Source organism: Homo sapiens, chromosome 15, assembly GCF_000001405.40.
Source record: "Homo sapiens chromosome 15, GRCh38.p14 Primary Assembly".
Taxonomy (NCBI): Eukaryota; Metazoa; Chordata; class Mammalia; order Primates; family Hominidae; genus Homo; species Homo sapiens.
The window spans coordinates 83,563,946-83,591,298 of NC_000015.10; the positions used below are offsets into that span (position 1 = coordinate 83,563,946).

At 42.8% G+C, this 27,353-nt stretch overlaps 1 protein-coding gene across 24 annotated transcripts in view; it reads left to right on the forward strand.

Moving 5' to 3' along the window:
* The window catches only part of SH3GL3 (SH3 domain containing GRB2 like 3, endophilin A3), a 186,480-nt gene that overhangs the window by 116,605 nt on the left and 42,522 nt on the right, over window positions 1-27,353 (forward strand). For 14 of the 24 annotated variants that reach the window (XR_007064483.1, XR_007064484.1, NR_136712.2 and 11 more), the window contains 6 exons: window positions 1,189-1,261; window positions 4,584-4,727; window positions 8,620-8,753; window positions 12,638-12,796; window positions 23,038-23,141; window positions 24,717-24,826. Coding sequence is in view for 13 of the 24 variants with exons in the window: in NM_001301109.2 (NP_001288038.1) it covers window positions 1,189-1,261; window positions 4,584-4,727; window positions 8,620-8,753; window positions 12,638-12,796; window positions 23,038-23,141; window positions 24,717-24,826 (724 nt within the window). In the remaining 11 variants the exon portion in view is untranslated. The other 10 variants (NR_136711.2, NR_136713.2, NM_001324185.2 and 7 more) reach the window with 5 other exon arrangements.

Here is a 27,353-nt window from a genome sequence, read left to right on the forward strand (position 1 = left end):
CTTTCTTGTTTGTTTAAATGGGAGTTTAGAATATTATGCCACTTTTGTCAAACTTCACATACTCTATGTCTTTTCATGTTCAGTTTTTAAGTTTTTACGGAGTCAGAATTTTGGTCTTTTTATTTATGACATTTGAATTTCAGGTCCTGGTTAGAAGTTTCTTCCCACTCCAGTATTTCAAAATACTGTTGTCTGTATGTTAGTCGTTTTATAGTCTGATTTTTTTAGGTTGATATTTTTAATCATGTATATAGTATGAAGACTCACTTTACTATCAGCTTGCCAAATTTTAACAAAAAAAAGAAAAAATTGAAATTATGATGGGATTTGAATGAATTTTGCATGTTAATTTGGGAAGAATGCATATCTTTACAAAATTGAGTTTTCCCATCTAAGAATGTGGTTTTTCAAATAGGTGTTGTGAATTTCTCATAATAGTTATTCTTCATTATTGCATTTTTATTGCTTTTATGAATGAGATCTTTTTCTTTTGGGCTACTGATGGTATAAATAAAGCTATTGCAACTTGCATTTTAACTTTATTGTTTATTCCCATATTAACTCTCTGGTTAACTAACAACCAGAAAGTCCAGGAATGGTTTTGCAGAAGGAAAGATTCAGTCTTAACCAGAAAGGGTTAACTTTCAGGGAACGTTTGGGGAAAACTTTGATGTTAACATCTTCTGACCATAGCACAAATGAATGTGTTTATTGTATTATAATATAATACTAATGATTATGATTCTTTTAGTGTTGATTACTGAGGCAGTTGCTAATATGAATCATTACTGTGGCATCCTTATATAAGTATAGAAATTCAAGTTCACCTAGCAGATAAGGAGAGTTTGGTTCATATCTAGTGTTAGTTTTGAGAGACTTCCAAGTATATCTAATAATCTAGTGGAGCATAATAACTTTTCCAGATTTTCTAAATATTACCTTAATATTCATTTTAATGTTTAAAGGGAAAGTAAAGTTCTCCAACATCACTTGAAGGAAATGATGTTCCAAAAATCAGAAAGTGAGAAAATATCACCTCTCCCAAAAATGTTGAAAACGTTCATTTGGATTAAAATCATCATAATCGTGTTAGAAGAATTAAATTAATGAAAATTCCTCCTCTATTTGCTCTTTTGTGATTTTATTGAGTTTGTCATTTACTAACTTTTTTTAAATTTTGCTTTTAAGAAAATAGATGTTACCAATAAAGTTGTTGCAGAAATTCTTTCAAAAACCACTGAATATCTTCAGCCAAATCCAGGTAAAGTTGAAATATTCTCTTGTTCATTTGCTGTCACAGACTCTAATAACCCATGTTTACTTGGTGTTTAGTTGACATAATGTAGAAACAATGTCGTCTGTGTCCCAATAATGAAATTCAGTTTTTAAAGCTGAGTCTCCAGTGACCAAAGGTAGTTGCATTCGGTCCTACTGATGAGAAAGAGAACAGCTATTTTTGTGAATTTCAGTTGACATCATCCGAATGGAGTGCTGGTCATAGCAACAAGAGAGCACTGAGCAAAGGTTTTATGAGTTGCTTCAGAAAGCCACTAAACATTTGGCAAATATTTTCTTCCTTATTTCCTCTTTATAATTTTTTTAAAAATTCTGCCCTTGTGTACTATATACATAAAGGTATATGTTAATTTGAAAAAGCTTTCTCTTTGTGGCTTAAATGCTGGAGAAACAAGATGTGGTGAATACGAAAGGCTGCTTAAATCCAGTGTCACATCAGCTTCTCCACTGAAGGTCTGGGTTTCTAGGTCCCCAAGCAGCATCTATTGATGAGATTTTCCCAGGTTGTAAATTATAGGAACCAATAGAGGGCGCCCAAGCTTTGAGTTCTGTGGATTTCTAAAGCCACCTTTCCTTTTTAGGAATTTATTATCTGCGTAGAGTTCCTGTGATTCCCTTGACTGTAGGAATCAGCACAAACCTAACCATTTGAAAATTGAGAAAGTAAAAATTTAAGAATATAAATTTTATCAGGTGTATCCAGGCAGGTCTAAAGTTCTTTACAATTGTATTGATGATAATAGCTTTGAAAACCATAAAAATATATCTTCTCCTCCCTGGCCACATCAGTGATTGAAATCAGCCACACAAATTTCTTTTCCTGATATATCAGTCAACAAATATTTAATATGTGCTTTCTCTGCACTAGAGGATTTCGGGGTGCTGGAGTACACTATGAAATCAGACAGATACTTCACCCTCAACCAGCTGACTCTTGAATGGGATAAGGAAGTGTTGGCCAACAATAAAAGTGTCACCACTGGCTAGAGGTCTCTGGTTATTCCTAGAGAAGAGGCAGCCCTAGCAACCTCTTATCCAGTTTAATGGCTCTCACCCACATACCTGCTGCATCCCACATCCCCCTCCAACAGTGGGAAAGATGGGCAGAGAGAGAGAGAGAGAGAGTGTGTGTGTGTGTGTGTGTGTGTGTGTGTGTGTGTGTGTGTAGTGTGTGAGAGTGAAGCCTTTGGGCTTGGGGACCTGGAGGATAAATGCTTTGAGGATAAATGTGAGGTTCAAAAGTCCGGCACTGGCCAGGCACAATGGCTTATGCCTGTAATCCCAGCACTTTGGGAGGCCAAGGCATGATGATTGCTTGAAGCCAAGAGTTCAAGACCAGCCTGGGCAATGTAGCAAGACTCTATGTCTACAAAACATTTTCAAAATTAGCCAGGTGTGGTAACACGTCTGTAGTCCTATTTTTACTCAGGAGGCTGAGGTGGGAGGATCGCTTGAACCCATGAGTTTGTGGCCACAGTGAGCCATGATCATACCACTGCACTACAGCCTGGGCAACAGTTGTTGTTTCAAAACAACAACAAAAAAGGCTGGCACTGTGAATGTCAGGTGAATGTGAGTGGCACTCACAGCTGGCACGGGAATGTCACTACTCACAGTGCATTCTATTGCTGGAGATGCAGAATTAGGCTCAACCCAGACCGATGGAATCACTCTACATTTTAACAAGATCCTTGGGTTATTTACATACACATTAAAGTTTTGGAGGCATTGATTTAAAATACATTAAAAATAGTACAAAATTATTAAAGTAGGAAAAAAAGTGTATCTCTTGACTATCTAAAAGTATCTCAAATACCACAAACTAGTATGTGATTCACTCTCTCACCTACAGGATGAAATCTCAAATCCTTAGCTTGGTGTTCAATTCATAGTCACATTTTCCCATAGCTATCTCCCACTTTGTCCTGTATTAATAGCATTTTAGGTCAAACCAGCCTACTCCTTGTCCACTGATTATGCCACAGTATTCCCTCTTCTACACGTTACTGACACCATTCTCTGTACTTTTTAGGGCATCTTTCCATCTTTCTTCAGCATATTGCCGCCTTTCCCTTGCCCTGCACCACACTGGACTTTATTTTCATAATTATGTCCTGTATATTCTGCCTCCCAGTAACTAGACTTTGAGCTCCTTGAGGGCAAAGCCTGTCTCTGGAGTCCCAGTAATGAGCACAGTGTGTTGTTGCACAGGGCCCAGTGCAACAATGAGTAAATACTCATTGCCTGAGTCAGAGGAAGGAAAGGAAGGTAAGACGCAGTGATGCGCATCACCTCCCTAGGGAGCAGAGGCTGAGCTGCACCTTGGGACCAGCCACACAAGGCTAGTGTTCACTAGGGGTGGGGTGGTCTGTCCCCTCCTATGATTCTGCCTCCTAAACAGCAGCACCTGCCTGCCATAATACTGAAAATCATTAGGCTCAATCAGTCCTTGGGAGCAGAGTGTGTGTGTGTGTGCGTGCGCGCGCATGTGGTGTGTGTTAATGACCAGTTGGTTGTTTGAAATATCCTCCTCGGCAATTCTATTTTTGTTTACATTTAAACAAACAAACAAAAAGCATGTCAGTGTCACACAGGTGTCAGTGTCTGACTTCACGTGTCAGCAACTGCAAGCTTTCCAAAGGGTCTCACTCGAGGGGTGGTGCTCAGGAAAGCCTGGTCACTATTATTTCAAGTCAGCAATGTGCCCCATCATTTCTTTTTTTTTTTCTTTCTTTCTTTCTTTCTTTTTTTTTTTTTTGAGACAAAGTCTCGCTCTTGTCCCCCAGGCTAGAGTGCAATGGCGCGATCTTGGCTCACTGCAACCTCCGCCTCCCGGGTTCAAGCAATTCTCCTGCCTCAGCCTCCCGAGTAGCTAGGATTACAGGCATGTGCCACCACGCCCAGCTAATTTTTTGTATTTTTAGTAGAGACAGGGTTTCTCCATGTTGGTCAGGCTGGTCTTGAACTCCTGGCCTCAGGTGATCTGCCGGCCTCGGCCTCCCAAAGTGTTGGGATTACAGGTGTGAGCCACTGCGCCCAGCCGATGTGCACCATCATTTCTATGGTTCATCGTGGCTGCGGAACAGTGCACTTAGCACCCACCTTGGTAAAGAACCTAGAAAATTACCTGAGAAAATTAAATAGTTCACACACAATTGTTTCAGGCCTCAGGTCTCTGGCATTTTGTTTAAGGTGACCTCAGTTTTGGCAGCTGCGTTTATTAAATTCTATGTACCTGTCACTCCACCTTGTAACTTTAAAGAATTACAAATGACAATGTTTTTAAGCATACAGAGCTAAGCTAGGAATGCTGAACACTGTGTCGAAGATCCGAGGGCAGGTGAAGACCACAGGATACCCGCAGACGGAAGGCTTGCTGGGGGACTGTATGCTGAAATACGGGAAGGAGCTCGGGGAAGACTCCACCTTTGGTGAGTTATTCAGAGATCAGCTGGGGGAGCTGAGAACTCCTCCAGTATGGTTTTAGGTTATACACAAACCCTTCAGTCTAACAACCTTTGTTATTTTTCCATATTACCAAAGTAATACATGTTAATTGCAGGAGGTTTAGAAAACATAGGTAAGTAAAATAAAGAAAAATGCTAACATCACCCATAATCCCATATCCACCGATAGGCCCAATTAAACTCTGTTGTGTATCTTTTTTTTTTTTTTTTTTTTAGACAAAGTCTATGCCCAGGCTGGAGTGCAGTGGCGCGATCTTGGCTCACTGCAGCCTCCACCTCCCAGGTTCAAACGATTCTCGTGCCTTAGCCTCCCGAGTAGCTGGATTACAGGCTCAAGCCACCATGCCTGACTAATGTTTTGTATTTTAAATAGAGACAGGGTTTCGCCATTTTGGCCAGGCTGGTTTTGAACTCCTGACCTCAAGTGATCCGCCTGCCTCGGCCTCCCAAACTGCTGGGATTACAGGAGTGAGCCACTGCACTTGGCTTGTTGTGTATCTTTTATGCCTTGTTTATTCTTATATGTATTCATATGTACTTTTAAAAACTACAGTAAGGCTATAGTACATATACTCTTTGGTAACACTGACTATATAATGATCCATATCGTAAAATAATTAATCTTCCATGATATTGTTTTTAATGGCTACATAATATTCCATGTATCATAGTTTGTTCAGTCAATCCCATTTACTAAATAAATGTTTCTTTATGTAAAAACATTTTACATAGCATTTACAATAACCATTTTCATAGGTAAATCTTTGGGGATATCCAAAATTATATTCTTTGACATAATTTAGATAACATGTCTAGTATAAAATTGCTGAGTCAAGAGTATGCTTATTTTTCAGGTTTTGAAAGCATATTCCCAACCTACCCTTCAGAAGGGTTACACTCATTTGACACTGTTGCCAGGAGTGAGTGAGGGTATATTTCTCTACATAGTTCCTAACCCTAGAGATTATCTTTTTAGTTTACTTTTAAATAACTGATCATTTGATATGTAGTATACAAAAATGATATCTCATTGCTGTTTTAACTCCATCTTTTGGATCACGTGTGAGGTGGAATTTTTATTTGTGTTTGTCATTGTTTTTGTGAATTGTGTGTTTGTGTCCTTAGCCTGCTTTTGCATCAGGAGGTCCATTTTTTCCCCCCTGTCTCATGAGCTCTTTAAATGGTCAGGATATTTGCTCATTGGCTGTCTTGTATGTTGATGAAGCTTTGTCCCAGGTAAGCATTTGCCTTCAGACCTTGTATATGAAGGTCATTTCAATGGAGAGAGATTTTTATTTTTTATTTACTGAAGCTCTTTAGTCTTCCTATATGGTTTCTAGCTTTTTGGAATCATGTTTAGAAAATCTTTTTCATCCCACTCCCTGGCAAATGATATAAACGTTTATTTATACTTGTTTTTGAATCCTGTATTTTCTTTTATTGCCTTTAAATTTCCAAGCTCCTGCATTTATTGGAGCTACAGTGCAATAGGGTTCTAATTTTGTTTTCTAACAAATAAATAGCTTGTTTCAGTACTGTTGAAAAGTCCAACTTTCTCCTGATGATTTGAAATGATTCTTTTATTATAGGCTAAATTATTATACATTAAATTTGTTTATGGTCTTTCTCTTCCGTTTCTTGATCTGTATCCTGTTTTGATTCAGTGTCATATTGTTTTAAGTATTGAAGTTTTAAAACATACTTTAATATATTATTTACTAAAAATTTAGGTATTGTATTGCAAAAAGTTCACAGACACACTTACTGGTTTTATTTTTCCAGGTGAAACTTAAGTCCCTTTTATTTAAAAAAGTCATTAAATTTTGATTGAGATTCATTTAAATTAATACATTAAATTGAGGATGAATTGGATTTAATATATTAAGTATTCCCAAAGAATTTGGCATATTTGCTATTCATATAGTGGTAACAAGGCAGGAGATGGAAGAGATGGAAGTTGAGAAATCAAATATTTGGCCACAGTAATCATTCTAGGAAATTGGAGGAAATATCTTTTGAAAAAAATGTTAAAACTCAAGCATTAAAACACGAATTAATTAGTGACAAAGGGTAATATTATCCCTCAGAGCAGTATAATGTGAATTTTATTTTATTCTAAGGGCCAATGGGGACAAGATGGCCTATTTCTTACTCTGAAGGCACATCAGTGAAGGGAGCAGGTGAAACTGCCAGGCAGGCCTTGAAATCCAAGGACACTCCTGCCGTGCATCTGGCCTTGGCGACAGCCAGACAATTTGGTAGCTTCCCAGGTGCTCGGCAACCGAAAAAAACTTGGGATGAGGAAGAGAGCTGATGTCAGCAGGGCATCAGGAACAGATGGATTTCTGCTCTTCCAAGGAAGAGGCTGTGCCGTTGGATGTTTTCTTTTGGGGGGCCACATACTGGGACCTCCTACAGTACAGAAACCTCAGTGGGTGGAGGCTGAGCCCCACACCCGTGGAATTCGACAGCGCCAGTCTCAGGCAAGGAGAGGGAATGTTGATTCCAGGGAGGTGGCGGCCCATGTTCAGAGCATCATCTTTGGAGTCTACAGTGTATTTGAAAATGTTTCTGTCAAGGCGAAATGAGCTGACATTGTGAGACACTGGCACTGGTGGCAGAGGGGCTGTGTAGGGGGTCAGGCAATACCATTTCTCACCATTTGGGCAGGAAAGAGTCCACAGGCTAGGAAGGGACATTTCGTCTTCATTTAGGAATTATTTAGACACACTTTGGAGAGTTGAGCTAAGGAAATGTAGCTTCCAAGGAGGAATGAAGCTACCACTGGGTCCGTATGGAGTCCTGGGAAGCCTTAGTTTAGAGTAACGGTTCCTACTTCTGTTTTGCAAGGTCCTCTTTAGTATCTTTCTGTTTTTTTTTTAAGGGAGGTGAGGCACATGTTGCCATCTCTATTTTACAGGTAATTAAGTTGTCCATGCCCTCACCTGGTGGGTGAAACAACTCAAAGGTCAGACTTAGGCTGGGCTTTACGGTCTTCTTCAAGCCTAGAAATGGAGCAACCCAATCTCCATCTTTTTACAAGATCAATTTGGAAAAACCCAAATATAGGAAAAATAGTTCATTCTAGTGCAGCATTTCCCAGGGATGTTTTCTAGAGACCCTGCAACCCTCATTGTACAGAGAACTAGAGGGCACCTGGTTTGCAGTAATCTGGCAAATTACTGCCGATTAACCGGACTGAGATAGCACACTGTAATCCAGGAAAAACTACCTGCCACTACCCGAGCCAGGAAGGCTGGCCTGGGCTCCAACGCACCAGCAGACCCCCACCCCACCCTGCTGACAGGATGTCCCATGTGACACTGGCAGGCTTTCTTTGACATCAGAGAGGGCAGGGAGGCTTAGAACCTTCTAGAAGGATACGGGGAGTAGCCTTGAGAAGATCCCACGGCTAGAAGCTGAGATGTTTTGTTGGTTTATTTCTATTGTAATTTTTACTGGTTAACACTTAGCCCCATGAGTGAATCCTTTCATTGTTTACAAAGAGATTTTATTCTCAAGCTTCTAAGGAACCCTCCGTGCCAGTTTCCCAAATTACCAGTTTTTTAGAAAGGATCTTTATCCCCATCTAGTGGTCCAAATGGTAAGTACTTCGGTCTGCTAGCCTCAGTTGTATTTTCTGTAGTGGTGAAAGTGCAGACCATAGAGAGGAAAATACAGAAAATAGGAAGCCTTGCTTTTTCTTTTTCATTCTGATCCAGGATTCAGAGGTCCCGGAGCAAGGACCTTGCTACACCATCATCCACACACTTTTGGTAAAGAATGAAATAAATAGCACTGTTAACCTGGAGTAGTGTTCCCAAAGAACCTTTTGTATTTATGTTTTCTATTCAAGGCAATGCATTGATAGAAGTTGGTGAATCCATGAAGCTAATGGCTGAGGTGAAAGACTCTCTTGATATTAATGTAAAGCAAACTTTTATTGATCCACTTCAGTTACTACAAGATAAAGATTTAAAAGAGATCGGGGTAAGTCTTCCAGGGTATAAATATACCTGTTGCTACATAAGATGATGTTTATATTTAAAATCACTAGAACGTTTCAGCAGACTGAAAGCATCATCTTATGATGCTTGTGGGTAGGGTAAAAATGACTCAGTTCTATTTTCCTGGGCTCACTGGGAAAGAGTGCCAGGATCCATTAGTCCTATCTGCCCTGGAGATGAAGCAGGATAATGGGAGGGAATGTAAGCCATGTTCTTTCAGCTGGAAATTCTGTATTTAGTTGAAGCCAGCTCTAAGCCAGGCTAAACAAAGTAATTACATAACTTTATAGTGGATTTCTTATTATCAAAATCGTACCATAGTTGCATGTTTTGATGCGTTGCCCTGGTGGTCATTATTTTCCATTACTTCTCAAGAAGATCAATACCTAGAAATTGAATTTTTCATTTGGAAAACTGTTAAAAATGGCGTGCATGGGAATTTTCAGGTACCTGGAGATAATTGCATGCCACTTGCATGGTGGCATTTTTGTAGATGTGCAAAAACAGCCCCAAGACTTCTACCCCACCAGTGACTTCCACTCTGGAGGTACAAGCACCGTCTTATGGATATGTACAGAAGATGTTCCTCCAGGTGCCTTCAGCATGATCTCAGCTTGGAGGTCATTTGAGCCTTGGGCATATCCTGTTTTCCCTTCTTCAGACCTATTGATTCTCAAAGTGTGGTCCCTGGACCAGCAACATCAGCATCACTTGTGAGAAATGCAAATTCTTGGGCCCCATCCCTTATCTCCTGAATCAGAAATCTTATGGGTGAAGCCCAGCAAGTCTGTGTTTTATAAAGTCCTCCAGGTGATTCTGATGCACGCTAATGTTCAGAAACCACTGTTCCAGCCCATCCTTTCCAGAACTCGAGGGGGAAGTGTGAACCCCCACTGGTCTAGCCTATGTGACAGAGATGAGGCTGGTGGGATGTGTGAGCTTGGGTGGCCTTCCCTGCTTGGACCGTGGGCCTTGAGGTGGCTCCATATTCCAGGGGCCAGAGAAGGAACTGATGGATGTCAGATTATTGGTTCTTCCTTTGTTCATTTATTTATTCATCCATCAACTGTGTATAGCCTGCTCTGCCCTGCTACAGTGGTGGTGGGCACTGGCCATATGTGGCTAAACAAGACCTGGTGCATGCCCTTGTGAAGCTCACAGGTGTAGGGTAGAGAGACAAGTAAACAGATACCATGCACTTTGACAGTTGTTGGAGAGATGAGCCCAGGGACATGAAGGAGAAGCACCTCTTTCAGCCTGGATGGGTCAGGGAAGGCTTCTCAGAGGAGGAGAAGCTGGCTAATGCAGACTGGGAGACTGGGGTGGGCAAAATATCCAGCACAAGCTGACCAGAGGGCCAGGGCTGTGAGAGCAGGCAGGCTCGGGGACCTCGGTTGTGTGATATGGCCAGGGGATAGGGTGTGTAGGGGTGGGGGTGCAATGAAGGGAGGAAAGGCTGAGAGTCACGGAAAGCCCTGGATGCCTGTCCAGGCAATGTATTTAGAATTTCTGCTGAAAGCAAAGGGTATGAGGGAGAATTCAGGAAGTTTGAGTGAGAAATGAAAGCATCCATTCAGGAGCTCCCTAAACATCCCATTCCCCACCTGCACACCCCTTGGCCCCGACACTCATACCATCCTCTTCTTCCATCTCAGGGGAAACATGTCCCTGTTGCTCTCAAGCCAGTCCTCCTCTGGGCCGCAGGGTCTGTCACCTCTCACCTCCTCAGGGCCGTTGTGACATCCATCGTCCTCTCTGGTGTATCTTCATTCTTTCCCTTTCTGTCTGTTGGCTTCTTCCTGTTAACATTTACACACAGCACAGCTGCCCTTGACCCCTGGTGTCACATCTCACTCCCTCCTGTCCATTCTCCAGCCCACAGCCAGGGCACCCTTTCTGAGCTGCAAACCTTCCTGGCTGCCCACTGACAGTGGGGTGAAGATATAGACCCTCAGCCCTTCACAGCCTGGCCCCTCCTTTCCTCTGTGGCCTTATTGCCACCCCTTCCCCACATGAACTCTGCCCAGCCTCACTGAATTATTTCCAGCTCCCTGGTGACGTTTTGCTTTGTGCTTTCTCGCTATTTGCTGTCTTTGTCCTTTCACCCCTTCTCCTGGCTGTCACCTCACCCCTCAGCTCGGATGTGCTTTCCTTTGGGAAGCTGTTTGTTCTTTCGCTAGACTTCGTGGGGTATCCCTTCTGTGCCTCTGTGTCATGAGCACCGTTGCTTACCTTTTGCTCATGTTGGGCAGTCCATTCCTCGGGGTGAGTGATCGTGGTTTGTTCCTTGTAGTCACAAGCCTCCCACGTGGTTTGTGCTCACACATTATTTTATTTTTTTAATTTTAATTTTTGTGGGTACGTAGTAGGTGTATATGTTGGTGGGGTACAGGAGATGTTTTTGCAAATTATTTTTGAATGGTTGATTCTAGAGAAGTGACAGTCTGGGTTCTGGGGATGCCAAAACATCTCCCCCAAATGCACAGTTGTAAAACCAAATGCCTCCTTTGCTGACATATAGCAAGTTTTATTTCTTCTTGTGCTGTCATCATGGAGGAAGGTCATATGAAAAGTCAGCATTGCTCCTCCACCTGGCCAACCACAGACACATATGTGGTCCTGAGTAGTAAGTGGGTGAAATGTGTAAAACACACTTATTCTGAAATGTTGCAGTTCTCTATGCAACAAAATAGTTTTCTAAATGCCATCTTGTTACTCAGCTGCTGTTTGATACAGAACTGTAAATCTAAACTTAAATTATGTGGATGATGGAAAGTTAAGAGTCCAAGGTTTAGGAAGCCTTTCATAGTCTCAGCTATGCTCTGTGTCGCTCAGAAATCAGGGGTCAGGGGCCTGTTCATTTGACATACGGCTGACTTTCAGGTGTTCATGTAGAGGTACAGAGGGATTAGGGACCAGCCCAAAGTCACAGAGCAAAGAGAGAGATGTTTCTGACTCTCTGGGTCTTGTGTGCTCTTTTCACTGAGTCATGGAAGTTAGAAGCAGTGCTTCCTGCTAAAATGAATAGTGCGAGCTATCCCCATGCTTCAGTGGGATGATCAGTTTCTACATACACTTTCGATGCCTGGTATCTGATTTCCGAGGATTATAGCCATAAACTCTCCAGGGACCCCTCCCTTGTCCTGTATAGCTATCCCACTCAGCACTGTTTCTGACACGGGGTCTCTCTGCTTGGACACAAACTGTGATGGGAAACCTACTGCTACGCAAGGCAGCCTGTTCCATGAGTGGACAGTTCTAACTGTTATATTTTGTTAAAGCGGTTATAATATTGTTTAGAAATTTTACTGTTTCAGAGGTTGTCTGTGAATCTCTCTCCTTTGCATTCATTAACAGCGTTTTACGCAACTTATTTCTTGATTGTTTGGGAACTTTACGGAGATCCGTTAATATTCTAAGGGATTGTAGAAGTTTGTGATTTTATAGTCTACTACTTAGTCAGGAGTTGACAATAGTACCAAAAGAAATGTTCCTACTGTGTTTTGTTTGGTTAACCTGGTTAGAAATTATCTGGACATTAAGAAGGCTGAAGTGAGGGATCGTATAAAGAACGTTGGAAAATAATATCTGAGCATGGCTACTGCATCATTACATTCCATAAAGACACTCATTCATTCTATCACCGATCTGTCCATTCATTCATTCATTCCACAAATATTCCTGGAGCACCTGAAGTGAGGGGAGCCTCCATCAGGTGCTGAGGTGCTCCCAACAGCAGTGTAAGGTGGGTTCCTGCCCTCTGGAATCTAGGCCGAGAAAAAGCAATGACCATTTTAATAGAAATAATTTTTTGTGCCAGGTTTTGAATGTAGCACCTCTCTGAGGGACTCCATTCTCTTTTTTTAGCATCACCTGAAAAAGCTGGAAGGCCGCCGCCTGGATTACGATTATAAAAAGAAACGAGTAGGTAAGATACCAGACGAAGAAGTCAGACAAGCGGTAGAAAAATTTGAAGAGTCAAAGGAGTTGGCTGAAAGAAGCATGTTTAACTTTTTAGAAAATGATGTAAGTATTTAAACCAAATAGGAGATTTTAATGTAAATGAATGAAACATTGAATATATGACTATGATCGGCATGTTGAAAAACTCTAAAGCAGGAGTGTCCAATCTTTTGGCTTCCCTGGGCCACACATAAAATACACTAATACTAATAATAGCTGATGAGCTTAAAAAAAAAATCATAATTTTTTTTTTTTTTGAGACGCTGTCTCGCTCTGTCACCAGGCTGGAGTGCAGTGTCTCGGCTCACTACAACCTCCGTCTCCTTGGTTCAAGTGATTCTCATGCCTCAGCCTTCTGAGTAGCTAGGATTACAGCCACGCACCACCACACTCGGCTAATTTTTGTATTTTTAGTAGAGATAGGGTTTCACCATGTTGGCCAGGAGGGTCTCGATCTCCTGATCTCATGATCTGCCTGCCTGGGCCTCTCAAAGTGCTGGGATTAAAGGTGTGAGCCACCACCCCCGTCCAATCTCATAATGTTTTAAGAAAGTTTATGAGTTTGTGTTGGGCCACATTCAGAGCCATCCTGGGCCACATGTGGCTTGTGGGCCACAGGTTGGACAAACTTGCTCTAAAGCCTTAGTTGTTATGCAAGTTTCTAGAATTTTCTCCTATCTCCTGCCTGAGAGATTGATTGCTTCAGACATCCAGCAAGCCCTGACTCACATCTTTTTTTGGAGACAGGGTCTCACTCTGTTGCCCAGGCTGGAGTGCAGTGGCACGATTGTGACTCACTGCAGCCTCGACCTCCCAGGCTCAAGCGATCTTCCCACCTCAGCCTCCTGGATAGCTGGGATCACAGGCATGCCACCAAACCCTGATAATTTTTTGTCAAGATGGGAGTTTCGCCATGTTGCCCAGGCTGATCATGAACCCTTGGGCTCAAGCCACCTACCCGACTCAGCCTCCCAAAGTGCTGGGATTACAGGTGTGAGCCACCACGCCAGCCCCTGACTCAATATCTTAAATCTTGAGGAGTCCTGTTTATCCCAGGATTGCTTCAGAGGTTGTCTCTGAAGATTGCTAAGTAGACTGGCTTTTGTATGTGAGGCCATAGGATTTATGGTTTCACAGGAGAATGAAAAGTCGAGGTCATGTAGTAATTTGCCATTTTGCTGAGACTGAAAAGTACTTGGCAAGGCAGATGGTTAAGGGAGAACAGCTCTCTTATCTGGGGGGCGGACAGCCGCTGTCATCCCCCAGCTCTCTGGTGCCTTTACCTGTCATAGCCCACATTGAGGACACAAAAGCATGACCCAAATTTTTCAGCTGTTCCATAGTGGTGCTTGTGGGCTCGGGAATTGTGAAGGTCTCGGATCTTATCCCTCAGAAGTGCCAATCTTCTATTGTACTGTGGTTCCTGCCATTTGCTTTGATTTGATTTGTCCAAGTAAAGTCAAATGAAATGGAATTAAGGAGGACGGTGACTCCTGACCAGGCAACACGCAGCTGGGGGTGGCCTCCCTGCTCGGCCTTGGGTTTAAGGGGCCATTGGCACTTTGACTGCCTGAGTGGAAGAGGTGTCAGCCACCTGCCTCCCTCCGGAGCCCCTGCCCTCAGCCTGGCTTCAGCGATGCCAGGAGCTGTCTCAGCCCCAGCATTAGTATGGGACCTAATTGTTAAGTTTTTAAACCTGTGGGAACAAGTCAGGAGGTTTATTTATCCTCAAGACCATGTCGTCCTTATAACAGTTTATTTAAAGGTACACTGAGGTCTTACATCCTTTGAGTCAAGTCAAAATGCATTGAGCACCCTTTATTTACCATGGTGATGTATGGAGGAATTATGTCCAATACTAACAAGACATTCATCCTGGAGAATTTATTCTCCCAACTGGAAATGCCAATTTGAAATTTCCCATGCCCATTAAACCACTGAGGCCTGAAAAGTACACTCTACTGTGTTTCTTCTTTTAATTTTTTTTTTTTTTTACATTTTTTTTGGGAAATAGGAGGAGGTGTGACAGTTTGGTATCTCTGTTTTTCTTTAAATGTATAAATTTCCTCTTGAAATTGTCCCCAAGCAACAGCGATTTTGTTTTGTTTCAGATTGCCGTATTGTTTTGAAGTCTTTAGAAAATGTATTTGAAGTGTGACATGTATCAGATACTCCTTGTTGGGCCATATGGAATGTTGCCCTGCTGGCTCCAGGCCCATTCATGGCTTAAACTCTGAGATTGTGTCTTGTGTGTCAGATGCGCCGTCTGACCCATTTGTTCCATTCACTGCCTTCATGCGGGAACCACAATGATGGGTTTTTGCGAAGTGCTCCATGAGGGAAGCCTGTCTGAGCCACGCCGGCCTTAGCAGTTGACCCAAGAGACCTCAGTTTTCCCCCTCAGTATCAGTCAAAAGTCAAAAAGGATCCCTTCATTATAAAAGCTCAATCATTTGTCCATGTTTTGACAGTAACACGTATTCTGCCTGTCACAAATGGGTTAAGTCCTCCCACCCTGCCCCAGCAGAAGTAAGAGCTGGTTCCTAGCCCAAGCTCCGCAGGGGCTCTGGTGCTGGCCTTGCTCCGGCCTGGTTGCAGTGTTTCCTCCAAGGCTTCCTGTGGGAAATTGACCTGCAGGTGAGTGGAGGTTTCCCCTGTTCAGCTCTGGGGAGTCAGGGCTGCTCCCTCAGCCTGGATCCTGGGGTCTTCACCTTCACAAGGAGGGGTTGTCTGGCTTCTACTTCTGCCATTGAGGTGGGAGGAGACCAACGTTATGAAACGGAGATGGGCCGCCCAGGCTGCCCGGGAACTAGGCTCTTCCCTCCTTCCTGCTTCCTGCTTCCTGCCATCTGTAGCTGCAATGGCTGCTAGGTGTGCTCTGGCTGCTGCTTCTTGCGGTAATGGTGGTGATCGTGATAATGATAAAGACAGTGGTGATAATGATGATGACAATGACAAGAGCTACCATTCACTGACACCCCATGATAAAGAGGCTAAGGGGGTGCTGTTGATGGTCCCTGTCATGGTGCATGTGCGTTTACCTTTTCTCCTACCCAGGTTTATAGCTGAGGAGACTCAGAGATGATTGTTTAGGCTTCAGAAGCCCATCTTACTCTCTTCTTGGGGTCAACAGCAGTTAGATCAGAGGGAATCACCTGATCCTTTTCCATGTCAGTGTGTCTGTGCCATAGCCAGGTGGTCTGACCATCCTCTCCTGTTGACCAGACAAGCTAGAGAAAAATCTCCTGCTGGTCACTCCTTGGACCTGACATGCCAATGCCGATACTGCCTGGTGCTTGGGGATAAACAGAGAATGTGACTAGTTGGGAGAAAGACAAAATGCCAATACATGGTTGATGGGGCATACATTGAACCCTTGGCCCTGTGTTTGGCCCATCTCCAACAACCAGGCCAGAGCTGGTGGCCTTGTAGCCCATGGGACTCTGGTTTCCTGCTCCCTGTGAGTCACAACCCGCACGTCCAACCTTGGTCACTCAACCTCTTGTTGCCATGTTGCTTCCTTTCCTGGTGGGGAAGTCCTGCATGAGGAGCTGTGCTTCGGGATGGCTGGGGAGGGCTGGATTTCCTGGCAGAAACTAAAGATGGCTGGGACCTGTTCTAATCGCCATGTCAAACACAGTGGGTCTTTGGGTGCTGCTGCCTGATGGATTGGACGGTGTTTCTACCTGATCTGGTACCTGCTGGAGACAAGGTGCACAAACTGTCAAATGAGTGGCTGCAAGGGAAGCCTGGTGGCAGGCAGCAGAGGCCCTGACACTTCCTCCAGACACAAGTGGGACATGCTTCTGTTACTGTGGTGGGAAGTTTGGGGATGTCAGTCACAGCCATTCACCCTTTGGGTTCTGACCAATGGAGGAAGTGACAAAAAAGCCGGATTGGAATCAAGGGACATCTCTTTAACTGATGAGAATGCTTGAAAATTGTAAAATACAGACCTCCTGGTCAACTGTGCTGAAGGACATGGCCTGGGCCTAAAGTCCTGTTGGCACTTTCCCCTCCTTGCACCTTCGGTGGATGACAGCCAGCTCTAGGGGAGAGCCCGCCTGTCTTACCACCCAGATACAGCCTGAGACGCTGAAGCTGGGTGAGTGGGAGCCTTGCTGGCCCCAACCCTGCAGAGCCAGTGACTGAGGCAGAGCAACCCATCCTACTAACTAGGGAGCACCCCCAACCTCATCCACAAGAGGAGGAAGAGGAGGGCCTGGCGAGAGGACTTAGAAGCATTCGCTCCAAAGAGAAAGTGAATAAGCAGAGAAGCAAATGAAGGGAAATCCTCTGAGATGGGTGTGCTTGGTGCTCTTGTGCTACCTGTCCATCTCTGTTTGGCACTGACAATTCAAAGACCAAAATCTCACCCTGGGGGAAGAGCTGGTGCCTTCTCCAGCCCTCATGTCTCATCATCCTGGCTAAGACGCAATAAAAGCTTCACCGGGGAATGCCTCAAAAGAAACTGTTTGCCAAAACTCTGACTGATGTGAGGAGAACCCTGACTGGAGTTAACAGACTTGGTCTTTCCTGGGTCTCCAGATGTAGTACTTCCTAGGGTTTTCTGGCCAACAGGCCATTTGCAGGGATTTCCAGGGTGTGGTTGTTCACTGTCCTCACCTCTGCATTCTCCCAACTGAGAAACAAACCCAGGGAGCCACATGAGATCACATGCCAGCCCCTTGCTCAGAGAGCAGGGCTCTCTAGAAAGCCATGTTGGAAGGGGCAGCTTGGGCCTGGGCCCACAGTAGAAGTCCAGTGAGCTATTCCTGGCCTGAAGTCTAGACCTTGGAGCCCCTGCAGAGAGAGCGGGTGCAGAGACCACAAAGCCAGATGACACACGATCTTGTGGCCACTTCACAAACCCACTTTCTTGAGAAATCCGGAGCCCAGAGCCAGGCCCCTACTGCCTTTCCTTGCAGTGTCTAGGTACCCTGGTTATTAGGGCCAAGTGGGTGCCACTCCCGTAATCTCACCAGTTAGATGAATCACCAAAGGAAGGGGAGGTAGAGAGACATGACATGCTAACTCTAACATTCCTAAGCAGAAGTTTTATCTATTTTCTCATCTATTTTTGGCAGAACTGGGAATGGGAGAATGAAGAAGAGTCTCCTTCGGCCCCACACTGTAGCCTTTGGTTGTCTTGTGAATGGGAGCTGGATTAGAGACATTGAGCATCTCTTCACATCTTGCCTGAGGCTGAGCAGTGTCGTTATTCTATAGGCAGTGATGCAAGCCAGGAGGTGTTTTGGTTCTCCAACTTTCCAGGGATCCAAGAGGGGCAGTCCCATGACTGATTTCTCACCAGGCCAAGTTGGGCTTGGCAGGGTCCTGAGAAGTAACCAGGGCAGCCCTCCTCTTGGAGGAAAGTGTGGGAAAGTCAGCAGACTGGTTACCAGCCTTCATTGCCGTATCTTGGGAACACTATATCACCCATAGGCTTGTTAACACACTGTCACCTCTTCTGTCTTTGCAGAGAAGTTTATTCCTCATTATTCCTCACAACTTACTAGTAGCAAATGTAGGTCTTTGACATTAGCAGAAATCAGAGATATTCCATAGAAGATGCCTATTTCAGTCCAGTGAGTCCAGGCACCTGCAGTACTGGCTGTCTTGGTATACATTCACCAGCTACGGGATCCTCCTTCCATTCATGGGTTCCCAAGACCAGTGGAATTACTAGATTCCAGATTCCTGAGGTCTTTCCATTGGTCTAGAGTAGCATTTTCCAAAATCCATTCCATGGGATGTTAGTGTGTTTTGCATTAATAATGTCTCTGTGGTCACATAAGTTTGGGAAACCCTGGGTTAAATAAAACTAAACAGTTTCTTTATCACAAGACTTTTCAGAGTCTTTATTTGACAGTATGAAAGATTAATCTCTAAGCGGTTCCTAACAGAAAATACAGTTGGCAGTTTACCAAACTTATTTGACCGCAGAATTCCGTCACATTATTATATTATTACTAATGTTTCAGGACTGTAATGTGTGGAATAAGATGCATTAGGAAGTATTGAACTTGTAGAAAGCATACCCAGCAAGGCGTGAGATACCTGAATTCTGTTTCTGATTTTGTTTCTGCTAAGCCTCTGGGAAAATCATTTCACCTGACTGGTATCAGGCAAATTAACAACTGCATTTGAGAAATTCTTTAGAAGGATAAAGTGGAGAATAAAAGTGTAAGGGATTATTATCCATGTTATTAATTTAATTGCCTTACTCAAACTTTCTCAGAAACTCTGAATAAAGGCTTTTGCCCCATTGGAAAAGTCATCTGTTTATGACCAGACTGCAAAATACATGAGAAATTTTCCACAGCTTCTCTGAGGAATCCAAAAAGAGTAGAGGTCTTTGATATGATAGAGCAAGAAATTACTGGTATTATTACACTGTAAATTGAAGGTGACCTCTATGGGAAATGTGCCTTTTCAGTTGTGAAAGAGAATGGCTTGTCGTCTTTTGAAGATGTACACTTCTTTATTCCTGCATGCCAAACACACTTGCAGACCCCAGGCGTCTGGACAGGCATCAGCTACTCACATCACAGTTCTCTCTCTGTCCTCGCCATGGGCTTCAGGGTGTGCTACTCTCTGCTTACTCACCCGGCTGCTCACCAAGTCCCCTGGTAAGGGATTGCTAAAGGGTCAGAGGAGGAGGGTTCCCAGCCCTGCTCCTTCTAGGCACCCCAGTTTCCATAGTCCTCTTGCAGAGTTGGCCTAAGACAGCCTTGGTTACAGTATGCAGTCCTTTGAGCCATTCTTCCTTTGGGTACAGCCTAAGCCTTTTGCAGTTGGCTCACAAGGCCAGGCCAATGGCTCAGATCTTATGCAAGTGTCCCTGGGGTTTCCATAACTCCTAGAAACTTCTAGTATCCTTAGTCCATTGTAGTTGGGGACATCTATTCTCTGTTTCCATCCCCAGGACTAAGATACTCCCAACGGCCATATATGCTGCTAATCATCCATTGGTTTCCAGCTATAGAGAGGTTTGGAATGAAATGCATCCACAGGTGACACACGTGTGTCACTTGTGGATTGTTTATTGTGTATAGTCTGCCATGGGAGATAAATTGAGTTAATTCCTGTTTTGGGGTTATCCCTCAGAAGAGAGTGAGGAGCCCTGGGATACAGCCAAACCAACAATGAAGTCCCCAGGCCCAGCCACGATGGGCCCATTACCCCCTGAGCTTGGTTCTTATGCGTCTCCAGGCAACAACTCCCATCACCATGAATGGGGGTCCCTGGGCAGCACTAATCTCATTGTTAGGTTTTTGCATAGTTTGAGGATGGGCTAAAGCAGCTCTGTATCAGTTTCCTATTGGGGCCATAACAAATGACCACAAACTGTAGCTTAAAGCAACACACATTTATTGTCTTCCAGCCTAGAGTCCTAAAATCAAGGTGTGGGTAGGGCCATGTTTGTTCTGGAGGCTCTTGAGGAAGAAGCTGCTTCTTTGCCTTTTCCAGCTTCTACAGGCCACCTGCATTTCTTGGCTCATTCTTCGCTTCCTCCCTCTTCACAGCCAGCGGCACAGCATCTTCACGTATCTCATTCTGACCTCTGCTTCCATTGTCATATCTTCTCTGACCTTGGCACTCCTGTCTCCCCCTTAAAGGACCTCGTGATTACATTGAGCCATTCAGACGTTCCAAAATAATCTCTTCATGTTAAGATCCTTAACTCAATCATAACCGCAAAGTCCCTTTTGCTATGTAAAGTAACATATTTGCAGGTTTGGGGAATTAATATTTGGACATCTTTGCAGGTTCCATGATTCTGTCTACCTCAGGCCCCCTCTGGTTTTATGGTTCTGTGTGTCTCCCAAGTTGCTTCTTCACAGCCCTCACTTCACACATTTGTCAACCACCGAGGCCTGTGCCTCCTTGACCTCTAACCTACATGGAAGTCAGCTTGCATTATGAGTTTCTCACTTCAAACATCAGCTGAGTGTGAGCCCATCTGTAGGAGCTAGAGTGCTTCACTTTCAGAAAAGGGAGTGGATTCTCTGGAAATCCAGTTCCTTGGCGTATATCACGTGAACATTTTCATGGGTGAGGTCACACTTTGCTCTCAAGATGGCACCAGCACAGTGTCAGCCCAGGTCTCAACCCGGAAGTGGAATTAAACCTTTCTTCCCACCCCAGGTGACTTTCTCTGATTCAACAGATGGACTGCTGAAATTCCAACAATGGAAGAAATGTTTTACCTTTTGGTCAGGTTTTGGCTCTTGCTAAGCCTGAGTTTGTTGCTTTATCTTGGTTCTGCCTGTCTAGGTATTTATTTCTAATCGTGGTTCAGGAAGCTGAATGTACCTGTGTTGGTCCCCATGGTCCCCAGCACACAGCTCAATGCTCATGACCTGGGGGACAGCTGGAAGCTTCAATTTTCTGAAATCAAGAGGAAAATAATCTATCGTAGCACACCTGGTCTTTACTGTCAACAAGAGACTTACAGCCTAGTAGCCAGCCCTTCAGGACTTGTACTGAGCACCTGCTAGGTGCAAGCATTGGGCAGTGCTGCCATTGTTTCCCAAGGTTTAAGGGTTTTCAGGATTCATTTCCTTCCCAAAGTCAGCCACCCAATGAGCAGTTACGAATGCATCTCTAGATTACATCACCTTGTGTTTTAGCCACGACAGGGAGGATAGCTGGTAATCCCCTTGCCCCCTTCCTGTTCCCCAACCCCAAATATGTTTCAAGAAATATTAATTTAGCTATCTTTCACTATTTCTTTAAAAATTATAAAATGCAAGCATTTTTTAAAGTGGGTAATAAGACAGGGCAAATAAATTTTACTAAAGGCAGAGAGGCATAGCATAGATTTTGCCAAGCACACCACTCTAGCACTGTAAGGAAGAAAAATTGTTTCTGTAACAAATTCTACTACGATCGTGCTAGGCCATGGCCCTGGACTTATTTAAAAGTACGTGTAAAAGCCAAAGAGATGAAATTTAAGAAATCCTTAGGATTTAGTAGGGGCCAGGCTGTCTTTGTTTTGTTTATTGGGTTTTTGGAAATTTAAGGCTAGGCTTGTTGCTTTTCCAGCCACAGAGCATGGTAAAGTAAATGAAACCCGACAGGATTTCATTGTTCGGATGCTGATCACAGCTTGGCACACATGGAATTCAATGTGTCTCTTACATGCATATTGAGCCCGTGTTTAAAATAGTATAAGTGAGTAAGAAAAATTTAAGTACAGGCAACTAAAGAATGATTTGCAACTACAAATGAAAGTAGCTTGGATCTTTGAAGGCTAAGTCCATGGTTGGTTAGGCAGGGTGAGATTGCATAAATGAATCAGCAGGCAGACTTTGCCCTAAAGCTGAGTAGAAAATGAAGTATGGAAATGATGCATAGGCTTTGGGGAAGCCTGGGAAGTGTAGGATTGATTTTGATTTGTGTCTTTGTCCAGCTCTAGAGTTGATTGGATTCTTGCTGGGGGAGGCCCATCACCTCAACCCTCTGGAGCTTGCCTCTGGGGCTTTCAGAAATAAGCTTAATTAATCTCTTTCCTGTAGCAGCCCCTCAGACACGTGGGGGAGCAGGAAAGCTCTCAGGCCTTCCTTAGATTGCTTTTCCTCAAATTATACAGCCCCATATCATCCAGGTTTTTCCTTATGAGACACAGCTCTAAAAAATTCATTGTAAGTTAGTCATTAATTTCATGAATGTCTTGATTTGTGGGAAACAGAGATGCCAGTGTCTTTATAGTTCATTCCCTTTAGCTCTATGTTTCAGGGAAAATATGTTGAGTGGATAGCAACAAAACGCATAGAGGGGACAGGGAAATCTTTGCCCCAGTTCACATGTTGCTCCCTGGCCCCCTTTCTTATCTGTTTCATTTACAGTTCTTAACTGTTTAATGTACTTAATGTCTTGATTTGGCTTAGCTAGAAAGTGCGTGTTGAGACACTTGACAAAGTAGGCAGTTCTTTTGCTAAATGTTGGCTTCGTTTGTAACTGGAAGAGCTTTATCTCTCTGTTTTCAGATCCATGAGCTTTATAGCATAGAAAATCTGCTGAGAAAAATCATCATCTAATTGGAAAAACAGGCATTTTATTGAGTTAAATCAAATTCATAATCACAAATAAATTTGAACATGTTTTTCCAGCATTTATAGCTCCATACCATGACCTGTATGATTATTATACAGAGCTCCTACATGAAATTAAATGAAATGGACCAAGGCAGACACTGGTCTTCCCTGCAAAGCTAGGTCTTTGCTGCTGGTCTCCTCTCTCTCTGGACATTACACAGGCTCGGGCCTCCATGGAATAATTTTGCACTTCTGCTGCAGGTAGAACAAGTCAGCCAGTTGGCTGTGTTCATAGAGGCAGCATTAGACTATCACAGACAGTCCACAGAGATTCTGCAGGAGCTGCAGAGCAAGCTACAGATGCGGTAAGCACCTCCACGTTTCTTACAAGCCAAGGGCTGCGGAGGTAACATCTATTGAAATCCATCTGTCTGTCTCTCCATCTCTCCATCTCCCCCTTCCCCTGCCTCATTCTGTTTTGAATTTTCTTTCACTGGCTTTCATGGTTGGATGTGGGATGGGACTGAGATAATAAGTACTGGCTTTGGCCAGTAGGATAGAACTGGGAAAAGGGACCTGGCAGCTTTTCTCCTTTTTCTTTTCATTAAATCCCTTTTTTTTGTGACCCGTGTTTAGGGCAACTAACCAAGTTGCTCTCCCACCTGGGACATCAACCCCTACAGAACTACCCTGGCTTCATTGCTGATTTGATGAGAGTTTAACTCCCCATTCACAAAGGGATGGAAAACATCCAGAGCTATGGAAAAAAGTGAGATGCTGTATGGAAAATATGTAAATATCTGTAAAAAAAAAAAAAAAAAAAAAAGGTAGTGCCTTCACTTCACCAGTACGAATTTCAGGATATGTTCATAATATTGACTAGTATTGAAAGAGTCAAAATATTGACAAATTTCAGGCTGTGTTCATAATATTGACAGGTATTGAAAGAGTCAAAAATATCTTCTGAACAATCAAAGAAAGGTTTCTGCATTCCTTGTGAATTTAATCATAGATGTAGTCTATACTTTTCTGAAAATTAGTAATATTATATATAGTCTGCATGGCAACCCTGTTTATTAAAATATTTTAAATTAGGTTTGATAACAGAAAATTGTTTTACACAGGATTATGGTAATGCATAAATTTGGAGGGATTTTTACTTAAATCAATGACGTAGTTACCTAGGGAAGACAAAGATGTGTTCAGTCCCTGAAGCATCCACTTCTGCAGGCAGATAGTTTACCTGTTACTGACAGGAGTGTATTTTCATAATTCTATCATAATCTATAAGAGTAGAGTGAGGGAGAAGGCAGCTCCCATCACTGGGTGCCGACCGCGTCCCAGGCACTTGCTGGATGCCTCAGAGACTTGATGAAGAAAATTAGTCTTTTGTTTTGTTTTGTTTTGTTTTGAGATGGAGTCGTGCTCTGTTGCCCAGGCTGGAGTGCAGTGGCGCCATCTTGGCTCACCGTAACCTCTGCTCACTGCAGCCTCCACCTTCCAGTTTCAAGAGATTCTCCTGCCTAAGCCTCCCGAGTAGCTGGGATTACAGGCGCCCACCACCATGCCTGGCTAATTTTTGTATTTTTCGTAGAGATGGGGTTTCACCATGTTGGCCAGGCTGATCTCGAACTCCTGACCTCAGGTGAGCACCTTGGCCTCCCAAAGTGCTGGGATTACAGGCATGAGCCACCATGGCTGGCCCAATTAGTCTTCTTCAAGATGAATTTCACTCACAAGCTCAAATAGGGAGTTGAAAAACTGCATTTGTGATATCACCTCCATCACTTCGGGCTACTCAAGAGTCAGTGTGTAAAAATCGTCCCTTTCATGACCACTGGCTGTAACCTAAGTTCCTGTGCTCAACAAGGCAGAGAGGATGTGTGTTTGGAAAGCTTTCAACATCAGATGTCTGGCTCATCTTACGATGTGTGTTACAGAATATCAGCTGCATCCAGTGTCCCCAGACGAGAATACAAGCCAAGGCCTGTGAAAAGGAGTTCTAGTGAGCTCAATGGAGTTTCCACCACCTCTGTAGTGAAGACGACAGGTAAGTTGACCATTCTAATATGCTAAGTGTGCCTTTAGTAAAGCACTTCTAGAAACACTTATTTACTGCTTGTTTCTGGGTCAGTGAATACACACAGACCCTGGATATCTTTCTTTGGTTGTTTGGTAAATTCCCTTTTCCCCTAAACGTGCCCCTTTTTTCTGTTCCCTGGGGAAGAATTCTATCACTTATATAATGTAGCATTTAGAACCTTGGCCATAGAACCATTATGGCTACATCATCCTTTATTTTTTTAACTCTTTGAAAATATTTTCTTAATTTATTTTTAAGTTGAAATTAGCATTTTTGAGCAACTGCTATATGCTAGATACTATCTTAAGTGCTGCATCGTTATTTTTTATTAAACAAGTGATGCAAATGTGTCTTTTAGTAAAATAATCAAACAGAAAAAAATTGGTAAAATAATCAAACAGAAAAAAAAATTTAATGGTATAAGTCATTCTATAGTCTCTTGTGATCACCTACACCATCGCAGTTCGCTTCCTAGATGTAGCCACTGTTAAAAAAATTTGGTATAACTATTATCATATCTATTGAGGTACATAAATATACACATAAACAGCGTTTTGGATTTTTTTCTGTTTTTTCTTTTTTTCTTTTTTGAGACAAAGTCTTGCTCTGTCACCCAGGCTGTAGTGCAATGGCATGAACATGGCTCGGTGCAGCCTTGACCTCCTGGGCTCAAGCAATCCTCCTGCCTCAGCCTTCCATGTAGCTGGAACTACAGGTGTATGTGACCCTGCCAGGCAAATTTTTTTATTTTTTGTAGAGACAAGGTCTTACTTTGTTGCCCAGGCTGGCCTGCAACTCCTGGGCTCAAGCAATCCTTCTGCCTCGGCCTTCTGAAGTGCTGGGATTATAGGCATGAGCCACTGTACCCAGCCTTTTTTCTGTTTTTTAAATGCGAGATTATACTAGGCATATTGTTTGGCAGTTTGCTTTTTAAAATGTATCACTGTTTCTTCGAGTTATTTCCATATCATGCATATAGATCTATCCCACTGTTTTAACAGCTTCATAGTTTTCTATTATACCATTTCCCTATTGGTGGACGTTAAGGTTTTTTCCAGTTATTTGCTACAGTGAGTATCCTTTATCACTGTGCTGGCTACATTACTATTAAAGCATGAACACCTGCTTCCCCACACCCATGCCAGTAGACTTCCATTTCTGCCAAGCACTCATGAGAAAAAAATGGTATCCAGTCTTAATTTGCATTTTCATGATTATTAGTGAGGGTGAACTTTCTTTTCTATATTTTAATTTGTATTTCCTTATGTCTGAATTGTCTGTTTATGTCATTTATTTGTGTTTTTTGGGAGTAGTTTGCTTTGTCTTATTGTTTTATAGGAGCTCTTTCCATATGAGGATATTAATAATTTTTTTCCTAGTTTGTCATTTATCTTTAAACTTTGTTTTTGGAGTGCCTTGTCCCTTTGTTGTTTTTGCTGTTGTTTGCTTTGTTTAGTTTTGCTTTGAGTATACAGAAGCTTTTATTTTGATGTAGTCAAATGTGTCTGTCTTTTGCTTGTGACTTTACATTTTGTGCCCTGTCATGATTACATTTTGTGCCCTGTTGTGAAAAGTCTTCCTATCCCTGAAGTTATTCTTCTACAGTTTTCTACTACTTTGAATAATCTTTTCTTAATATTTAGATCTTTATCATAAGGATTTATTTTTCTAAATGAAAAGAAATTCCCAAACTATCTTTCAGAGTTGTGCTACCATTTCACATCCCCACCAGCAATATATTAGTGATCTAGTTTCTCCACATCCCTGCCAGCATTTGCTGTTGTCACTGTTTTTTATTTTAGCCACTTTGATAGGTGTGTAATTAATCTTACTGTGGGTTTAATTTGCATTTCCTTAGTGACTAATGATGTTGAATATCTTTTCATGTGTTTATTTGCCATCTGTGTATCCTCTTTGGTGAAATGTTTCTTCATGTCTTTTGTCCATTTTCTAATTGGATTGTTTACATTTTTACTGTTGAGTCTTGAGAATGCTTGATTTATTCTCAATACAGGTTCTTTCTATATATGTGATTTGCAAATATATTCTCTCGCTCTGTAGCTTATCTTTTAATCCTCTTAATAGGGTCTTTCACAGATCAAAATTTTTAATTCTTATGAAGTCCAATGTATTCATGTTTAGTTTTATAGATTGTGTGAAGTCTAGGAATTCTTTGCCTAGCCCTAAATAATAAATATTTTCTTTTCTTTTTCTTTTTTTTGAGACAGAGTCTCACTCTGTAGCCCAGGCTGGAGTAGAGTGGTGCAATCTCGGCTCACTGCAACCTCCGCCTCCCAGGTTCAAGCAATTCTCCTGCCTCAGCCTCCTGAGTAGCTGGGACTACAGACACACACCACAATGCCCAGCTAATTTTTGTATTTTTAGTAGAGATGGGGTTTCACTGTGTTGGCCAGGCTGGTCTCGAACTCCTGACCTCAAATGATCTGGCTGCCTCAGCCTCCCAAAGTGCTGGGATTACAGGTGTTGAGCTACC